The sequence below is a fragment of the Homo sapiens genome, chromosome 10, assembly GCF_000001405.40.
Source record: "Homo sapiens chromosome 10, GRCh38.p14 Primary Assembly".
Classification (NCBI taxonomy): Eukaryota; Metazoa; Chordata; class Mammalia; order Primates; family Hominidae; genus Homo; species Homo sapiens.
In genome coordinates, this window is record NC_000010.11 from 7,050,626 (window position 1) to 7,070,583 (window position 19,958).

At 41.4% G+C, this 19,958-nt stretch overlaps 1 long non-coding RNA gene across 1 annotated transcript in view, besides 1 other annotated feature; it reads right to left on the reverse strand.

Moving 5' to 3' along the window:
• Positions 1-19,958, reverse strand: part of LOC105376387 (uncharacterized) — a 294,200-nt gene that overhangs the window by 226,356 nt on the left and 47,886 nt on the right. The window lies entirely within an intron of this gene.
• Positions 15,752-15,811: a silencer, noted in NCBI's record as "silent region_2110". NCBI's record gives its function as "represses an Ori minimal core promoter by ATAC-STARR-seq in GM12878 lymphoblastoid cells {active_cell/tissue: GM12878}" and the evidence as "EXISTENCE:reporter gene assay evidence [ECO:0000049][PMID:35858748]".

A 19,958-nucleotide genomic window follows, 5' to 3' on the forward strand; every position in this document is an offset into this window, starting at 1 on the left:
ACCAAAACAAATCCAGAATTCCCTAGGCAATAATAATCTTCAATAATATTGACATTTGCCTAAACAATGAGATTAACTATAAATTCCATATTTGAAAGTACATTTTGCCATTGAATTTATTTCATTCTCTTCAAATGTCTTAAGGATGTTTTCTGCACATATTTCAGGGTTTTTTTTTTTATACATTCAGAACAGAAGAACAGACAAAATTGTCACTCCGAAATAAGTTCCTGCTGTTTCATAAATATCACAGTATGAACAACTTGTCAAAAAGATATTAATAAAAATTTGAGGAATTTTTTTATGAATGCAGTTGAGTTTGACAACCTTTCATAGTGAAAATGAGTCTAAAGAAAAATGAGCTATTCTTCAACCATTATTTTTATTTGTCTTCACTTATAATTTTGGGGTGTTATAATTGGCTTCTGAATTTATTGTTCACGTCATACATAGATGAAGAGATGGATGAAAGAGGCTGAAAATATTCTACATTGTGAAAGGCTAAGAGTTTAGAACCACAGGCAAGAGACTGTGAAGTCTCAGTACTCGTATACAGGAAAAGATCTTGGATCCCCAAACTCTACTGAAGACATCTCACGAAACATAGAACCCATCGATTATCATCCTTGGCTGCATGTTAGAATAATCTGGAGAGCTTTAAAAATGCTGATGTCCAGCATTAATACCCAGACTAATTAAATCCAGTCTTCTCATTGACAAGACAGCCTGGAGTAGCCATTTGGGACAATCATGGAATCAATGCTTCAAGTCTTTCTCATCACCCATGATCTCCCATTTGTAATTGTAGTAGATTAAATAGCATTCCCCCAAAACGTATATCTACCCAGAACCCCAGAATATGACCTTATTTGGAAATATAATTAATTGAGGATGAAGACAAGCTCATACTGGATTAGGGTGGGTCCTAAATTCAATGACAAGCATCCTTGTAAGAAAAGGGGGGGACACAGAGAGACACAGACACCCACAGGAAAGAAGGCTATGTGAAAAGGGTCACAAAGATAGGGGTTATACTGTCACAAGTTGGATTAGTCAGGGTTCTCTAGAGGGGCAGAACCAATAAAATATGTGTATATATGAAAGGGAGTTTATTAGGGGAATTGGCTCACACAATAACAAGATGAAGTGCCATGATAGGCTGTCTGCAAGCTGGGGAAAGACAGAGAAGCTGGTAGTGGCTCAGTACAAGTCCAAAAGCCTTAAAACCAGAGAAGCCAACATTGCAGCCTTCAGTCTGCAGCCAAAGGCCTAAGAGCACCCCTGAAACCCACAAGTGCAAGTCCCAGAGTGCAGAGGCCAAAGAACCTGGAGTCTGAGGTCCAAGGCCAGGAGGAGCAAAAGCAAGCATCCAGCAAGGGAAGAAGGAAAAGAGCCAGAAGACTCAGCAAGCAAACGGATCCCCCTTCTGCCTGCCTTGTTCCAGCCATGCTGGTAGCAGATTGGGTGGTGCCTATCTACATAGAGAGTGGGTCTTCCTCTCCTAGTCCACCCACTCAAACATCAATCTCCTCTGGCAACACCCTCCCAGACACACCCAGAAATAACACTTCACCAGCCATCTAGGCATCCCTCAATACAATCAAGTTGACAACTACTATTAACCATCACACAAGCCTTGGAGGGCTCCGGGCCACCAGGAGCTGGAAGAGGCAAGGAAGGTGTCTTCCCTAGAGACTTTGGTGAGACATTGACCCAGCGGACACCTCGATGTCTGACTCATAGAACTGTTGAAAACTTAATGTCCACTGTGTTAAGCCACCCAGCTAAGATATTTTATTATGGCAGCCCTAGTAAGCTGATACAGCGACCTTCCCCTCATCTTTGGATTACAGAATGAACTACCAGGCAAGGCAATTTCTTAATATCATGGACATTTAAGTCTCATTGTAAATATGGGCTGGACTCCATCTGGGTACAGAACTGTTCTGAGATCTTACTTACCACCGTGAGAACACAAAATTAGAGTGGGCACTGAAGCCCTGATCCAAACCTTTCACCTCCATATTATCCTTAATACCACATCTGAAACTGTAAGCTCAAATGGCTATGCTCCAGGCTTCTTCCAACACTACTTTAGATTTTCCAGGTGGATGAAAAAGAAGAGAAAGGCTTGGTAATTGATATGAAATATGCTATGATTGTGACTACTTGATTCATACTCTTTACCACTTTGTCAATTATTAATCTAATGAAATAATAACTAATTTGCTTTTAGAAATCCCAGTAACAAATACTTAGGGTAAAGTTTGGTCTCATTTTGTCATACTAAGAGATTAAATTAAATATTAGTTGTAGAGACAGGATGCAGAAAAGCAGGACAGAGGGATTAGCGTGAAATTCCCTAAAACAGTGTTTCTCAAACCCAGTACATTTATATATAAGGGAAACAATATTTTGCAAAAAGTATTCTTACTATTTCTGATGCACTCTGATCTTTTAAACTCTTTTTTGATCTTGATATTGATGTACAAAATTCATTTCATGCCCTAAAAATGAGTCTCAACTGTGATCTTAACCCCTAATTGGGGAAATTTGATTATGGATTAGGCATAACATGATATCAAAGATGCTATCTTTGTGTTAGGTGTAATAATGGCATTGTGGTTCTCTAAGAAAATGTCCTTATCTCTTAGAGATTCAATGAGAAGAAAATCTGGATGCTCTTAGAGGCACGTTTCCTTCCTGGTCTTAGTGGCTTAATCACCCTGGCTCAGCTAGCCCGGGCCCATCCGCAGGAGGCACAGAGGCCTTAGTCTAATGTTCACATTCCTGACAAGCAAGACTGGTTCCAGGCCCTTGCAGGCAGATGTTGGCCCTCAGCATGCCTCAAGTTATTCCTAGGCCTGGAAATTCTTTGATATATTTCTTGTTATTTGAAGAAACTAGGTATGTGCACCCACCTCCCCTTATGCTCACTCATATAACCCCAGGTAACACAAAGAGGAAGCAGGGCTCTCTCTCCTGACTGCCCTGTCTCCTGAAACTTTGGCCATCCATGCCTGGCTTACAGCATGAAACTTTGAGAGGAGGGAATTTGTCAGGCACTCTGCTGCTTCTCCACTTGTAAGTTTCCCCCATTAAGGCCCATGATACATTTGCATCATTTGGCAGTAGGGACGGCTTGTGTGACAAGATACATCCTGAATACGTAAGAATGCAATGACAGGTGCCTGGGGGGATCTGTTTTAAATACTTCATTAAGGGGGAGAAAAAGGATAGATGGGGCAAACGTGATGCAACCTTGATAATGGCTGGATCTGTGTAGTGGGAATGTGGAGGTTCATGTTACTATTCTATTTTGCATATGTTTGTACATTTTCATAAGAAAGAATTTTAAAAAGACATGCACACACAATACTGCCCCAGAATGTCTCTTGCCCTGGAACTTGAACCTTATAGGATAACTTTGAGATTTTTGGAGAAAGCTGTGTATTGATCCTCAAATTATCATTTCATGGAAAAACAGAAAGAAGAAAGGAAAAATCCATCTGGTAAAACATTTCTATCCAGAAAACTTCTACAATTACTTCTGCATTTACATGGTAAGACAGAGACAATAAGGGCAGAATTTAGCCCTCTTCCTAGTCACTGTGACATTGTTTTTTATCTTTGTCTATATGGCTAATCTCTCCAACTAAATGGGAAACTGGGTAAGGGCAGGGATATTGACTAATGTCCCTTTGCCTTTTCTAGAAAAAGACAACTTGCATATTGCAGGCATTTTATCAATATTTTTAGTTGATTGAGCTACATAGACGTACTTGTAGTTATAGCTTTAAGTTTGGGCACACTTGCTTGCATTCTTCTACTTCCTTTAAAAAATGCATTTTGGGAGGCCGAGGTAGACGGATCATCTGAGGTCGGGAGTTCGAGACCAGCACAACCAATATGGAGAAACCCTGTCTCTACTAAAAATACAAAAAATTAGCTGGGCATGGTGGCACATGCCTGTCATCCTAGCTACTCAGGAGGCTGAGGCAGGAGAATTGCTTGAACTCAGGAGGCGGAGGTTACAGTGAGCTGAGATCGTGCCATTGCACTCCAGCCTGGGCAACAAGAGCGAAATTCCATCTCAAAAAAAAAAAATTACTTGTATATAGTAAAAATAAAAACCTACTGTTAGCCAGAGTTTTCAACTGGAGAGCCATCACTAAGCTTATTAGATAATAGTTTAAAATATATATTAAGCATTTACTCTGTGTCCATCCCTCTGCAAAATGCTTTATGTAAATTATCCCACTTAATCTTCATAGTAATCCTAGAACAGTTACTGTCAGAACCTTCAGATAGGGAAACTGAGGCACAGAGATTAAGACTTGTGACTTTCTTAGTGTCACAAAGCTACTTAGCAACAGAGACAGATTTTAAACCTCGGAAGAATGACTGATGCCAGAATCCTTTCTTTCAAAGGCCCTCTCTCCTGCAGTTCAGATGAGGCCCATGAGGTAGTGCTCTTGAGCACAGTATCTAAGAGGACTCGGAATCTGCTTGGCCCACGTGATCCTGAAAGCTACATTATGCACCGTCATATGCTATTAAAAATGACATAAAGGACCCACATCTATTGCGCATTGAACCTACCATGCACTATGCTAGCTGCTTTACAAACATTGTTTAATCTTCCCGTAAGGAAGAGACCTGATTAATTACTATTATACTAATTCAACATTATATCAAGATATATCAATGTAACATCAAGATATATCAAGAAATCAAATATCTGTCTAAATATGGGAAACAGGGTACAGCCTGGTGTTGGCTGATGGCTTGGTGGCTGAATTTACTCCAACATAAAGTGGGGCAAATCAAGAATGCTAACAGGCACCTTAGCATGACCAGGTGACTGTCATCAGTGAATAAATGTAGGAGGCAAACTTCTGAAACATTACTAGAGGGACAGGGAGAAGGACAGAGTCTCTGTGAAAAGTATAGAGTTTGGTAAACTGAAGATGAGTGCCGAGCAAAGAAAAAACAGGCAAGGGGGACAATCAAGTGCACGGGAGGAGAGGAGAGACAGTGATTTTGTAAGAAACAGGAGTGTAGACAAGATGGTGGCAGGAAGGAAATCCTCAATGAATTGGGAATTTGAGTGTCACTTCCATCTATTTTACATCTAAGTCACACAATAGAATAAACATGTATCAGAACAAATTAAGAAAAATAATCCCGTAAGGAAAGAAAAGAAATTCCCACTTCAGATAATCAAATTATGTGATCAAATAAGTGAGCAAAGAGGTTTATATATATTTGCTCTTACCAATTGAATGAGTATAGTCACTGTAGAAAACATTACGCTAGTTCCTCAAAAACTTAAAATTACCATCTGCAATGCACAGAATGTTTGTGTCTCTTCAAAATTTATATCTTCAAAACCTAACCTCCAATATGACAGTATTAGGAAGTGGGGTTCTTAGGTCATGAGGACAGAGCCCTCATGAGGGGGATTAATACCCTTATAAAGGGACCCCAGAGAGCTCTCTCCCCCTCTTTTCCTGCGGTGAAAATATAACAAGAAGTCAGTAGTCTGCAAACCAGAAGACAGCCTTCACCCAAACTCTACTGTGCTGGCACCCTGATCTCAGATGTCTGGCCTCCTCAACTGTGAGAAATCAATTTCTGTTGTTTGTAAGACACTCGATCTATGGTGTCTTGTCATAATAGCCTGAACGGACCAAGACACCCTATGATACAACAATTCCTCTTCTCAGTATATGCACAAAAGAATTGAAAGCGGAATTTCAAAGAGAAATCTGTACACTCGTGTTCATAACAGCATTGTTCACAGTAGCTAAAATATGGCTGCAATCCAGAAGTCCATCAATGGAGGAATGGATAGCACAATGACAATGTAGTATATACAGACAATGGAATATCATTCAGTCTTAAAAAAGAGAGGAAATGCTGATACATGTTACAACATAGATGAACCTTGAGGACATTATCCTGAGTGAAATAAGCCAATCACAAAATGACAAATACAATACGATTCCACTTATATGATATACCTAAGGTAATCAAAATTATATAGATAGAAAGTAGAATGGCGGTTGCCAGGGCCTGGGAATGGGAGGGAATGGGGAGTTATTATTTAATAGGTACATAGTTTCAGTTTTGCAAGATGAAAAGAGCTCTGGAGATGGATGATGGCAATGATTGCAGAACAATGTGAACGTACTTGATGTCACTAAACTACACACTTAGGAATGGTTAAGATGGTAAATGTTGGCCGGGCGTGGTGGCTTACGCCTATAATCCCAGCACTCTGGGAGGCCGAGGTGGGTGGATCACCTGAGGTCAGGAGTTTGAGACAGGCCTGGCCAACAGGGTGAAACCCCATGTCTCCTCAAATTACAACAACAACAACAAAAAATTAGACAGGTGTGGTGGCAGGCACCTGTAATCCCAGCTACTCGGGAGGCTGAGGCAGAAGAATTGCTTGAACCCGGGAGGCAGAGGTTGCAGTGAGCAGAGATCGCACCACTGCACTCCAGCCCGGGCGAAATTCCACCTCAAAAAAAAAAAATGTTATGTGGTGTATTCTATCACAATAAAAATTGAAAATGAATGAATACATTGATAAAGAGATAAATAAACAAATCTAAGGACCCTGAATTAAAAATCAAACAGACTTTGGGAAAATATTTTTTATTAGTTTTTTTGCTGGGCAGAAGAAACACATGGCACAATATGTCTAGTTACTTTTCTGCCAGCTTGAGAGCCAAAAACTCCATCCTTAGGTATCATGTCCCCAGCACCCAGCATGATCCATGGTACATATTAGATTCCAAAAACAGTTTCTGCACAATTGGAAAAGGTCAAAGAAAAATAAGAGAGGGGTCAAAGATGTCTCATAGAGAGAAAACACTGATCAAGCAGTTTTATCACTAAACAATCAGCAGTTCAGTGAAGAGTAGGTTGGATTTTTTTTGGGTGGGGGGGATGCAGAATCCTTCTCGTGCTGGAGTAGACGCTGCTGACATCATTCATCTCTCTACCTTCTTTCTTTTTTGTTTATTTTTTGAGATGGAGTCTCTCTCTGTTGCCCAGGCTGGAGTGCAGTGGCAAGATCTTGGCTCACTGCAACCTCTACCTCCCAGCCTCAAGTGATTCTCCTGCCTCAGCCTCCTGAGTAGCTGGAATTACAGGAATGCACCACCCTGCCTGGCCAGTTATTTTTGTATTTTTAGTAGAGACGGGGTTTTGCCATGTTGGCCAGGTTGTTCTTGAACTCCTGACCTCAGGTGATCCACCCACCTCAACCTCCCAAAGTGCTGAGCCTCACACCTGTAATGCAAGGACTTTGGGAGACCGAGGCAAGTGGATCACTTGAGGTCAGGAGTTCAAGATCTCTGCCTTCTTTTTTATTATTATTATTACTATTATTATTATTATTATTTTAATTATACTTTAAGTTTTAGGGTACCTGTGCACATTGTGGAGGTTACATATGTATACATGTGCCATGCTGGTGCGCTGCACCCACTAACTCGTCATCTAGCATTAGGTATATCTCCCAATGCTATCCCTCCCCCCTCCCCCCTCCCCACCACAGTCCCCAGAGTGTGATATTCCCCTTCCTGTGTCCATGTGATCTCATTGTTCAATTCCCACCTATGAGTGAGAATATGCGGTGTTTGGTTTTTTGTTCTTGCGATAGTTTACTGAGAATGATGGTTTCCAATTTCATCCATGTCCCTACAAAGGACATGAACTCATCATTTTTTATGGCTGCATAGTATTCCATGGTGTATATGTGCCACATTTTCTTAATCCAGTCTATCATTGTTGGACATTTGGGTTGGTTCCAAGTCTTTGCTATTGTGAATAATGCTGCAATAAACATACATGTGCATGTGTCTTTATAGCAGCATGATTTATAGTCATTTGGGTATATACCCAATAATGGGATGGCTGGGTCAAATGGTATTTCTAGTTGTAGATCCCTGAGGAATCGCCACACTGACTTCCACAATGGTTGAACTAGTTTACAGTCCCACCAACAGTGTAAAAGTGTTCCTATTTCTCCACATCCTCTCCAGCACCTGTTGTTTCCTGACTTTTTAAATGATTGCCATTCTAACTGGTGTGAGATGATATCTCATAGTGGTTTTGATTTGCATTTCTCTGATGGCCAGTGATGATGAGCATTTTTTCATGTGTTTTTTGGCTGCATAAATGTCTTCTTTTGAGAAGTGTCTGTTCATGTCCCTCGCCCACTTTTTGATGGGGTTGTTTGTTTTTTTCTTGTAAATTTGTTTGAGTTCATTGTAGATTCTGGATATTAGCCCTTTGTCAGATGAGTAGGTTGCGAAAATTTTCTCCCATGTTGTAGGTTGCCTGTTCACTCTGATGGTAGTTTCTTTTGCTGTGCAGAAGCTCTTTAGTTTAATTAGATCCCATTTGTCAATTTTGGCTTTTGTTGCCATTGCTTTTGGTGTTTTGGACATGAAGTCCTTGCCCACGCCTATGTCCTGAATGGTAATGCCTAGGTTTTCTTCTAGGGTTCTTATGGTTTTAGGTCTAACGTTTAAATCTTTAATCCATCTTGAATTGATTTTTGTATAAGGTGTAAGGAAGGGATCCAGTTTCAGCTTTCTACATATGGCTAGCCAGTTTTCCCAGCACCATTTATTAAATAGGGAATCCTTTCCCCATTACTTGTTTTTCTCAGGTTTGTCAAAGATCAGATAGTTGTAGGTATGGGGCATTATTTCTGAGGGCTCTGTTCTGTTCCATTGATCTATATCTCTGTTTTGGTACCAGTACCATGCTGTTTTGGTTACTGTAGCCTTGTAGTATAGTTTGAAGTCAGGTAGTGTGATGCCTCCAGCTTTGTTCTTTTGGCTTAGGATTGACTTGGCGATGCGGGCTCTTTTTTGGTTCCATATGAACTTTAAAGTAGTTTTTTCCAATTCTGTGAAGAAAGTCATTGGTAGCTTGATGGGGATGGCATTGAATCTGTAAATTACCTTGGGCAGTATGGCCATTTTCACGATATTGATTCTTCCTACCCATGAGCATGGAATGTTCTTCCATTTGTTTGTATCCTCTTTTATTTCATTGAGCAGTGGTTTGTAGTTCTCCTTGAAGAGGTCCTTCACATCCCTTGTAAGTTGGATTCCTAGGTATTTTATTCTCTTTGAAGCAATAGTGAATGGGAGTTCACTCATGATTTGGCTCTCTGTTTGTCTGTTGTTGGTGTATAGGAATGCTTGTGATTTTTGTACATTGATTTTGTATCCTGAGACTTTGCTGAAGTTGCTTATCAGCTTAAGGAGATTTTGGGCTGAGACAATGGGGTTTTCTAGATAAACAATCATGTCGTCTGCAAACAGGGACAATTTGACTTCCTCTTTTCCTAATTGAATACCCTTTATTTCCTTCTCCTGCCTGATTGCCCTGGCCAGAACTTCCAACACTATGTTGAATAGGAGTGGTGAGAGAGGGCATCCCTGTCTTGTGCCAGTTTTCAAAGGGAATGCTTCCAGTTTTTGCCCATTCAGTATGATATTGGCTGTGGGTTTGTCATAGATAGCTCTTATTATTTTGAAATACGTCCCATCAATACCTAATTTATTGAGAGTTTTTAGCATGAAGGGTTGTTGAATTTTGTCAAAGGCTTTTTCTGCATCTATTGAGATAATCATGTGGTTTTTGTCTTTGGCTCTGTTTATATGCTGGATTACATTCATTGATTTGCGTATATTGAGCCAGCCTTGCATCCCAGGGATGAAGCCCACTTGATCATGGTGGATAAGATTTTTGATGTGCTGCTGGATTCGGTTTGCCAGTATTTTAATGAGGATTTTTGCATCAATGTTCATCAAGGATATTGGTCTAAAATTCTCTTTTTTGGTTGTGTCTCTGCCAGGCTTTGGTATCAGAATGATGCTGGCCTCATAAAATGAGTTAGGGAGGATTCCCTCTTTTTCTATTGATTGGAATAGTTTCAGAAGGAATGGTACCAGTTCCTCCTTGTACCTCTGGTAGAATTCGGCTGTGAATCCATCTGGTCCTGGACTCTTTTTGGTTGGTAAGCTATTGATTATTGCCACAATTTCAGCTCCTGTTATTGGTCTATTCACAGATTCTACTTCTTCCTGGTTTAGTCTTGGGAGAGTGTATGTGTGGAGGAATGTATCCATTTCTTCTAGATTTTCTAGTTTATTTGCGTAGAGGTGTTTGTAGTATTCTCTGATGGTAGTTTGTATTTCTGTGGGATCGGTGGTGATATCCCCTTTATCATTTTTTATTGCGTCTATTTGAATCTTCTCTCTTTTTTTCTTTATTAGTCTTGCTAGCGGTCTATCAATTTTGTTGATCCTTTCAAAAAACCAGCTCCTGGATTCATTGATTTTTTGAAGGGTTTTTTGTGTCTCTATTTCCTTCAGTTCTGCTCTGATTTTAGTTATTTCTTGCCTTCTGCTAGCTTTTGAATGTGTTTGCTCTTGCTTTTCTAGTTCTTTTAATTGTGATGTTAGGGTGTCAATTTTGGATCTTTCCTGCTTTCTCTTGTGGGCATTTCGTGCTATAAATTTCCCTCTACACACTGCTTTGAATGCATCCCAGAGATTCTGGTATGTTGTGTCTTTGTTCTCGTTGGTTTCAAAGAACATCTTTATTGCTGTCTTCATTTCGTTATGTACCCAGTAGTCATTCAGGAGCAGGTTGTTCAGTTTCCATGTAGTTGAGCGGTTTTGAGTGAGATTCTTAATCCTGAGTTCTAGTTTGATTGCACTGTGGTCTGAGAGATAGTTTGTTATAATTTCTGTTCTTTTACATTTGCTGAGGAGAGCTTTACTTCCAACTATGTGGTCAATTTTGGAATAGGTGTGGTGTGGTGCTGACAAAAATGTATATTCTGTTGATTTGGGGTGGAGAGTTCTGTAGATGTCTATTAGGTCTGCTTGGTGCAGAGCTGAGTTCAATTCCTGGGTATCCTTGTTGACTTTCTGTCTCGTTGATCTGTCTAATGTTGACAGAGGGGTGTTAAAGTCTCCCAGTATTAATGTGTGGGAGTCTAAGTCTCTTTGTAGGTCACTCAGGACTTGCTTTATGAATCTGGGTGCTCCTGTATTGGGTGCATATATATTTAGGATAGTTAGCTCCTCTTGTTGAATTGATCCCTTTACCATTATGTAATGGCCTTCTTTGTCTCTTTTGATCTTTGTTGGTTTAAAGTCTGTTTTATCAGAGACTAGGATTGCAACCCCTGCCTTTTTTTGTTTTCCATTTGCTTGGTAGATCTTCCTCCATCCTTTTATTTTGAGCCTATGTGTGTCTCTGCAGGTGAGATGGGTTTCCTGAATACAGCACACTGATGGGTCTTGACTCTTTATCCAACTTGCCAGTCTGTGTCTTTTAATTGGAGCATTTAGTCCATTTACATTTAAAGTTAATATTGTTATGTGTGAATTTGATCCTGTCATGATGATGTTAGCTGGTTATTTTGCTCGTTAGTTGATGCAGTTTCTTCCTAGTCTTGATGGTCTTTACATTTTGGCATGATTTTGCAGCAGCTGGTACCAGTTGTTCCTTTCCATGTTTAGCACTTCCTTCAGGAGCTCTTTTAGGGCAGGCCTGGTGGTGACAAAATCTCTCAGCATTTGCTTGTCTGTAAAGTATTTTATTTCTCCTTCACTTATGAAGCTTAGTTTGGCTGGATATGAAATTCTGGGTTGAAAATTCTTTTCTTTAAGAATGTTGAATATTGGCCCCCACTCTCTTCTGGCTTGTAGGGTTTCTGCCGAGAGATCCGCTGTTAGTCTGATGGGCTTCCCTTTGAGGGTAACCCGACCTTTCTCTCTGGCTGCCCTTAACATTTTTTCCTTCATTTCAACTTTGGTGAATCTGACAATTATGTGTCTTGGAGTTGCTCTTCTCGAGGAGTATCTTTGTGGTGTTCTCTGTATTTCCTGAATCTGAACGTTGGCCTGCCTTGCTAGATTGGGGAAGTTCTCCTGGATAATATCCTGCAGAGTGTTTTCCAACTTGGTTCCATTCTCCCCATCACTTTCAGGTACACCAATCAGACGTAGATTTGGTCTTTTCACATAGTCCCATATTTCTTGGAGGCTTTGCTCATTTCTTTTTATTCCTTTTTCTCTAAACTTCCCTTCTCACTTCATTTCATTCATTTCATCTTCCCTTGCTGATACCCTTTCTTCCAGTTGATCGCATCAGCTCCTGAGGCTTCTGCATTCTTCACGTAGTTCTCAAGCCTTGGTTTTCAGCTCCATCAGCTCCTTTAAGCACTTCTCTGTATTAGTTATTCTAGTTATACATTCTTCTAAATTTTTTTCAAAGTTTTCAACTTCTTTGCCTTTGGTTTGAATGTCCTCCCGTAGCTCAGAGTAATTTGATCGTCTGAAGCCTTCCTCTCTCAGCTCGTCAAAATCATTCTCCGTCCAGCTTTGTTCCGTTGCTGGTGAGGAACTGCATTCCTTTGGAGGAGGAGAGGCGCTCTGCATTTTAGAGTTTCCAGTTTTTCTGTTCTGTTTTTCCCCATCTTTGTGGTTTTATCTACTTTTGGTCTTTGATGATGGTGATGTACAGATGGGTTTTTGGTGTGGATGTCCTTTCTGTTTGTTAGTTTTCCTTCTAACAGACAGGACCCTCAGCTGCAGGTCTGTTGGAATACCCTGCCGTGTGAGGTGTCAGTGTGCCCCTGCTGGGGGGTGCCTCCCAGTTAGGCTGCTCGGGAGTCAGGGGTCAGGGACCCACTTGAGGAGGCAGTCTGCCCGTTCTCAGATCTCCAGCTGCATGCTGGGAGAACCACTGCTCTCTTCAAAGCTCAGATGGAAATGCAGAAATCACCTGTCTTCTGCGTCGCTCACGCTAGGAGCTGTAGACCGGAGCTGTTCCTATTTGGCCATCTTGGCTCCTCCCCCTCGATCTCTGCCTTCTTTCTACAAGAATCTCTCATGTCAGTCTCTGCCAACCCCCATCGGTATGACAAAGGCATTTCAAATACTACACACACACACCCCATGAGGTGGGTGTTATTATTGACACTTATGGGCAGGAATATTAGTACTATAGCTTAAGTAGCTTGACCAGAGAATGCTAGTGGGTCACTGTTAGGACCAGGTTTACAGCCCAGATGGAAGCAGCTCTCACTACCTCATCATGGTGCCTCTGGAAATTCCACAAGCCTATTATCATCAGCAAACACCATGTCCTCTTCATTCCTGACCTTCACACCCACCTTGCTTTCTTGAGCTTCCTACCCTGGTTGTCAGCATTTCTATCTATAATACCAACAGTCCTAAGATGCATATTTTGTAGACAGTCTTTCTCTTTATGGGAGTCTAAGAAAAAACTTAGATTTTATTTTCTTGTCTTGGTTTACTGGAGAACCATCAATTCAGTATCATTTTGAAAGGAAGGACTTCCGCTCATAAGTCAGACTTAGCCTTGGACGGTGTGTGGGGAATGTGGGGCTATTGCAATACGAGGAGGAGATCTGGCTGCTTATTCTAGGTGCATAACAATCACGTTCACTTTAGAAGACTGAGACTCTTCAGATCGATGCACTTGGTCTTTTCTTCTGGGAACCTTTTGGAGCATTTATCTTGTAGGTCTCATGACGTTTCTGGCAAGCTGTAGCCTCAGAGAGAAGAAATATGGAGCTGACAAAAAGAATGCAGATGTGCAGAGAGTATCAGTGAGTTCTCGCAAGGGTATCACACATAGGACGCTCTGGCTTGGAGGATCCTGGTCCTGATCCACATCTCCTGGTCCTGGATCTACATATCCTGCCACTGACCGACAACTTTCTAGTTGCTGCTTCCATTATCTTATATCCCAAGTGAAATTAGCAGAACTTCCTACATTAATGTGCATATCACCTTATCTCCATTCAAGAACAATCATCAGGAAGTTCTGCCTCATTTATTATTTTAACTGTTCATCTTTGTTTATATGTCCCTTATTGGTGGTCTTGTCATTTTGGCTTCTTCATGACGTGTCATGGTGTAGTCCATTAAAGCAACAGTACCCAAGGACCATGGTTAGAATTGGACGTTTAAAACCTTAAGGTCAGGGCTGGGTCTGGTGGCTCATGCCTGTAATCTCAGCACTTTGGAAGGACAAGGCAGGCAGATGGCTTGAGGACAGGAGTTCAAGACCAGCCTGGTCAAGAGGGCGAAACCCCATCTCTACTAAAAATACAAAAATTTAGTTGAGTGTGGTGGTGCGCACATGTAGTTCCAGCTACTAGGGAGGTCGAGGCACGAGAATCTCTTGAATCTGGGAGGTGGAGGTGGTGGTTGCAGTGAGTTGAGATCACACCACTACACTCCAGCCTAGGTGACAGAGTGAGACTCTGTCTCAAGAAAAATAATAGTAGCCGAGGCAGGTGGATAACGAGGTTAGGAGATCGAGACCATCCTGGCTAACACGGGGAAACCCCGTCTCTACTAAAAATACAAAAAAATTAGCCTGGCATGGTGGCTGGCGCTAGTAGTCCCAGCTACTCGGGAGGCTGAGGCAGGAGAATGGCGTGAACCCGGGAAGCAGAGCTTGCAGTGAGCCAAGATCGCACCACTGCACTCCAGCCTGGGTGACAGAGCAAGACTCTGTCTCAATAATAATGATAATATAAAATAAAATAAAATAAAATAAAATAAAATAAAATAAAATAAAATAAAACCTTAAGGCCACACAAAACAACAACAACGAAAAAAACATAATGTCCTCCAGGGCTGATACATACTAACCTAACTCATGGTACATAAAAATACAAATCAGAAACTCAGTCGGTTCATTGATAATGAGATAAATATTGAAACATTGTATCTGCTTGTGTTCACCAGATGTCTGGCTTGCAGGTGGAGTGTTTTCCACCATTATCTGACGGTGGTTATGTTGTGAAACCAAGGTTCCCATCCTTTATGTCAGCCATCCTCAACCTTTTTGGCACCAGGGACTGAATTCATGGAAGATAATTTTTCCATGGACCAGGGAAGGCGGATGGTTTTGAGATGATTCAAGTGCATTACATTTATTGTGCACTTTTTTTTTTTTTTGAGACAGAGTTTCACTCTTGTTGCCCAAGCTGGAGTGCAGTGGCACAATCTCAGCTCACTGCAATCTCCACCTCCTGGGTTCAAGCGATTCTCCTGCCTCAGCCTCCCAAGTAGTCAGGATTACAGGCACGTGCCACTTACACCCGCCTAATTTTTTGTACTTTTAGTAGGAGTGGGGTTTCACCATGTTAGCCAGGGTGGACTCAAACTCCTCACCTCAGGTGATCCCCCCGCCTCGGCCTCCCAAAGTGTTGGGATTACAGGCATGAGCCACTGTACCTGGACACTTTATTTCTATTATTATTATTATAATTATACAACAACTATCTACGTGAGTGGTATAATTATTTCATTATATATTACAATGTAATAACAATATATTACAACAATATCAGTTGTAACAACTGATGTAACTCATGTAGAATAAGGGAACCTGAGCTTGTTTTCCTGCAACTAGGCAGTCCCATCTGGGGGTGATGGGAGACAGTGACATCATCAGGCATTCGATTCTCATGAGGAATACGCAACCTAGATCCCTTAAATGCACAGCTCACAACAGGGCTCGCACTCCTATGAGAATCTAATGCCACGGCTGATCTGACAAGAGGCTGAGCTCAGGCAGTAATGCCAGCAATGGGGAGTGGCTGTAAATACAGATGAAGTTTCGCTTCCCCACCGCTCACCTGCTGTGCAGCCCGATTCTTAACAGGCCACAGACCAGTACCCATCCATAGCCCTGGGGCTGGGGACCCCTGCAATAAAACTTACAAGGACCCCATGTCTACTAAAAATACAAAAAAAAAAAAAAAATTAGCTGGGCGCGGTGGCCGGCGCCTGTAGTCCCAGCTACCTGGGAGGCTGAGGCCGGAGAATGGCGTGAACCCGGGAGGCGGAGCTTGCAGTGAGCCGAGATCGCGCCACTGCACTCCAGCCTGGGCGACAGGACGAGACTCCGTCTCAAAAAAAAAAAAAAAAAAAAAAAAAAAAAAAAATTACAAAGAAGCAGCAGGCTGCATGACCTCAGTGAGGAAGATAAACAAGTCCAAGAAACCCTCATTCACCACCTTTCCAGCTTACATCACAGTTTGCTGTGTCTGGCTGCTTCGCAATCCCAAAAGGGACGGTGTTTTCCTTCGTAGCAGCCAATCAACTCTTATCCTATCCTGTTTTTCTAGGGAATAAATACTGATTTTTAATGAATGCGCAGTAAAAATATTAAATATACATACACTCATGCTATGACTGTGGGCCATATTTTTTCTTCCAGAAATGGCACAAAATAAATAATTCATATACTGAGAAGTTAGCTGTAAGCATGGCATTAAATTTTCTGATTTTTAAGTTCAACAACATTGGAATATTTGGTGATAATGAATTATTAAAGGTGTCTTGGTCAGAAAATGTCAATGCCTCTTTCCCGAAGTGACATTATTTCTGTTCCAAATAGGATTGTTTAAAAAAATTGCTGGAAGAACAGTGAGAGTTAGGAAAAACATCATTTAATTTTATTAATGTCAAAAGTTTCTTAAAGTTCAAGTGGTTAATTTCTAAATGGGTGTTTATGCAGAAATGTCCAAATATTTGCAAGAATAAAATAATCATAGCAATTGCAAAGGGAATTGAGAGATGTATAGACGGTTTGGGAGGAAATATTTGTTTCTAAAGCAACTTGCTATTAAAGAGAAGGCCCAGTGAAAAATTTAGCACGGTTAACACTAACATAGCATCAAGGATGTCAAGGATAGTTGCAAATTTAGTCTCCTGAAGATCTTTTTTTTTTTTTTTTTTTTTTTTTTTGAGACAGGATGTTTCTCTGCCACCGAGGCTGGAATACAATGGTGCAATCTCAGCTCAGTTCACTGCAACCTCTGCCTCCCGGGCTCCAGCGATCCTCCCACCTCAGCTTCTTTAGGAGCTGGAACTACAGGTGTGCTCCACCATGCCAGGCTAATTTTTTTACTTTTTGTAGAGATGGGGTTTTGCCATGTTTCCCAGACTGGTCCCAAACTCCCAGGCTCAAGTGGTCCTCCTGCCTTGGCCTTCCAAAGTGCTAAGATTATAGGCATGAGCCACCACACCCAGTCACAGTCTCCTGAAGATCTTAAAGAAGAATGATCTTCAACCTGATTCAATTCATCAAAGATTATATAACGGTAACATAGTCCAACTTGTGTATTTTTTGTGTAGGTTACAAAAAGCCTAAGCGTGATGCCTGCCCTAGAGAAGCTTGAAGTCTACCTGGGAAAAGCCATCTATCTACATACATAAGACAGTTACAAAAAAATCAAGTAAGTGTTGCGCAGAATGTCTGGAATATAAGTGTTACATGAGTTGAGAGAAGAAAAAAAAAAATCATAGGCAGGAATGATCAAGGAACATTGCCAGCCCTGAAGCTGAAATTGAAAGGATGGGTACTATTTGGGAAGGAGCAAAATATTTTTTCTTTCTCTCTTTTTTTTTTTTTTTCGAGACAGAGTGTTGCTCTGTCGCCCAGGCTGGAGTGCAGTGGCACGATCTTGGCTCACTGCAAGCTCCGCCTCCCAGGTTCACGCCATTCTCCTGCCTCAACCTCCCAAAGTGCTGGGATTACAGGCATGAGCCACTGCGCCTGGCCAACATTTTTTCTTAATTGTGGTAAAAAGTACACAACATACAATGTATCTTCTTAATCACTTTTAAATGCATCATACAGTAGTGTCAAGTATACACACCTTGTTGTACAACAGATCTCCGGAACCTTTTCATCTTGCAAAACGGAAACTCTGCACCCATTAAGCAACCACTCTCATTTTCCCTACTCCCAGCCCCTGCCCATCATTTTACTTTCTGTCTCTACGATTTTGACTACTCTAGGAATCTCATGTAAGTGGGATCACGTAGTATTTGTTCTTTTGTGTCTAGCTTAATCCCGTTAGCATAATGTCCTCGAGCTTCATTCATATTGTAGCATATGATGGGATTTCCTTCTTTTTTAAGGCAAAATAATATTGCATTGTATGTATAGAACACATTTCTTTTTTTTCTCTCTTTTTTTTTTTGAGATGGAGTCTTGCTCTGTCGCCCAGGCTGGAGTGCAGTGGCACCATCTCCGCTCACTGCAAGCTCTACCTCCCGGGTTCACACCATTCTCCTGCCTCAGCCTCCCGAGTAGCTGGGACTACAGGCGCCTGCCACCACACCCGGCTAATTTTTTTGTATTTTTAGTAGAGCTGGAGTTTCACCATGTTAGCCAGGATGGTCTCGATCTCCTGACCTTGTGATCCACCTGGCTCGGCCTCCCAAAGTGCTGGGATTACAGGCATGAGCCACCGCGCCCGACCCACATTTATTTATTCATTCATCCTTCAATTAACACTTAGCCTGCTTCCACATCTTGGCTACTGCAAATACTGCTGCAATAAACATAGGTTTACAAATATTTTAATTCTTTTAGATATATACCCAGAAATGGGAATGCTGAATGATTGGGGAGTTTTATGTTTAATTTTTTTTGGAAACTTAAAATGGAGGAACATATTTGACAAGGTGACTTCTGTATTCAGAAATGTTCATGTTAGTCACTGCAGTGTGTTGGCCAGTGAGGAGCCTGGCCTGAGTGACTGGACCAGAGGATTCTGAGAGTGGGAAATAAAGTGGGCAGGTAAGAAGAGGCTTGCTCACAAAGCCCCAGAGAGCGGGCAAACCCATGAAACTACGGAGTAAGACTTTGATGAGCTGCAGCAGCTCTTATCTGGGATGTGGCATGGAAAAAGCAACATACTGAAAAGATCAGTCCATTAATTCATTTATCAAACATATATGCCTATCATGTGTGCAGAGCTAGTCTAGATGCTGGGGACATGGTAGTAAACATTACAGATAAACTGCTTCTCCATGCGAGCTTAAATTTTGGTGAGAGGAGACAAAGGATATGCAAATAAATTATGTGTGTGCACGCGTGTGTGTGTGTGTGTGTAAAATAAGTCAGAATAATAAGTGCTATGGGAAAAAGTAAAGCAGAGTAAGGGAAGAGGGAGGAAGACTGTTTTAGACAGGGGAAGGGCATGGAGAGATTCTCTGAGCAGATCCTAGCATGAAGAGAAGGAGCAAGACCAATGGCCATCTAAAATGAAAATATCCCAGGCCGTGGGAATGGTGACTGCAGAGGCCCTGAGGTGGGGACATGCAGGCATGCCGGAGGAGCTGAGGGTTGGACAGTTGTGGCCATAGCCAAGGCCAGCGGGAGATGGGGGCGCGGAATGTGAAGGACTGAAGATTGTGTGACCATTATAAGGACTTTGGCATTTACTCTGAGTGAGACGGAAAATCACTGGAGGCTTTTGAGCACCACAGAGACATTTTAGAAGGAACTTTCTGGCAGCTATAAGAAGTATAGTCAGAAAGTAGCAAGAGGACAATGAGATCACCCAGTCAGGATCCTGTAATAGACCAGGTATGAGAAGGTTGGCTTGGACTAAAGTGATATTGGTGGAGGAGGTGAGAAGGGGTTAGATTCTGGCTATATTTATGAAGAGAGTTAACAGGATTTGCTGATGTATTGGATATGGAGAGAAAGAGGAATCATCTTACATGACTCCCAGGTTTTCAGCCTTAGCAACCAAAAGTTTGACATTGCTATTTACTGAAGAATGGAAAATAGGAGAGAAGCTAGGCATTTTGTGAAGTATCAGGTATTTTGAAAAAAATAGATTTGTAAAAGTGTGCAGTGTAGACTGGTTCCTGGACATTGAGATTATTGCACTGATTCATTTAAGAAGCAATGACAGACCATTGAGGTGAAGGGTAAGGTAATGGGGGATGAATAAGGGGCTCTAGGAGGTTTCGTTAAGGTAAAATAACAATGCATGTAGAGAGATCAAAAATAGTCAATCCATGAAATATCAGAGACTCCAGATTAAATGTGGGAAG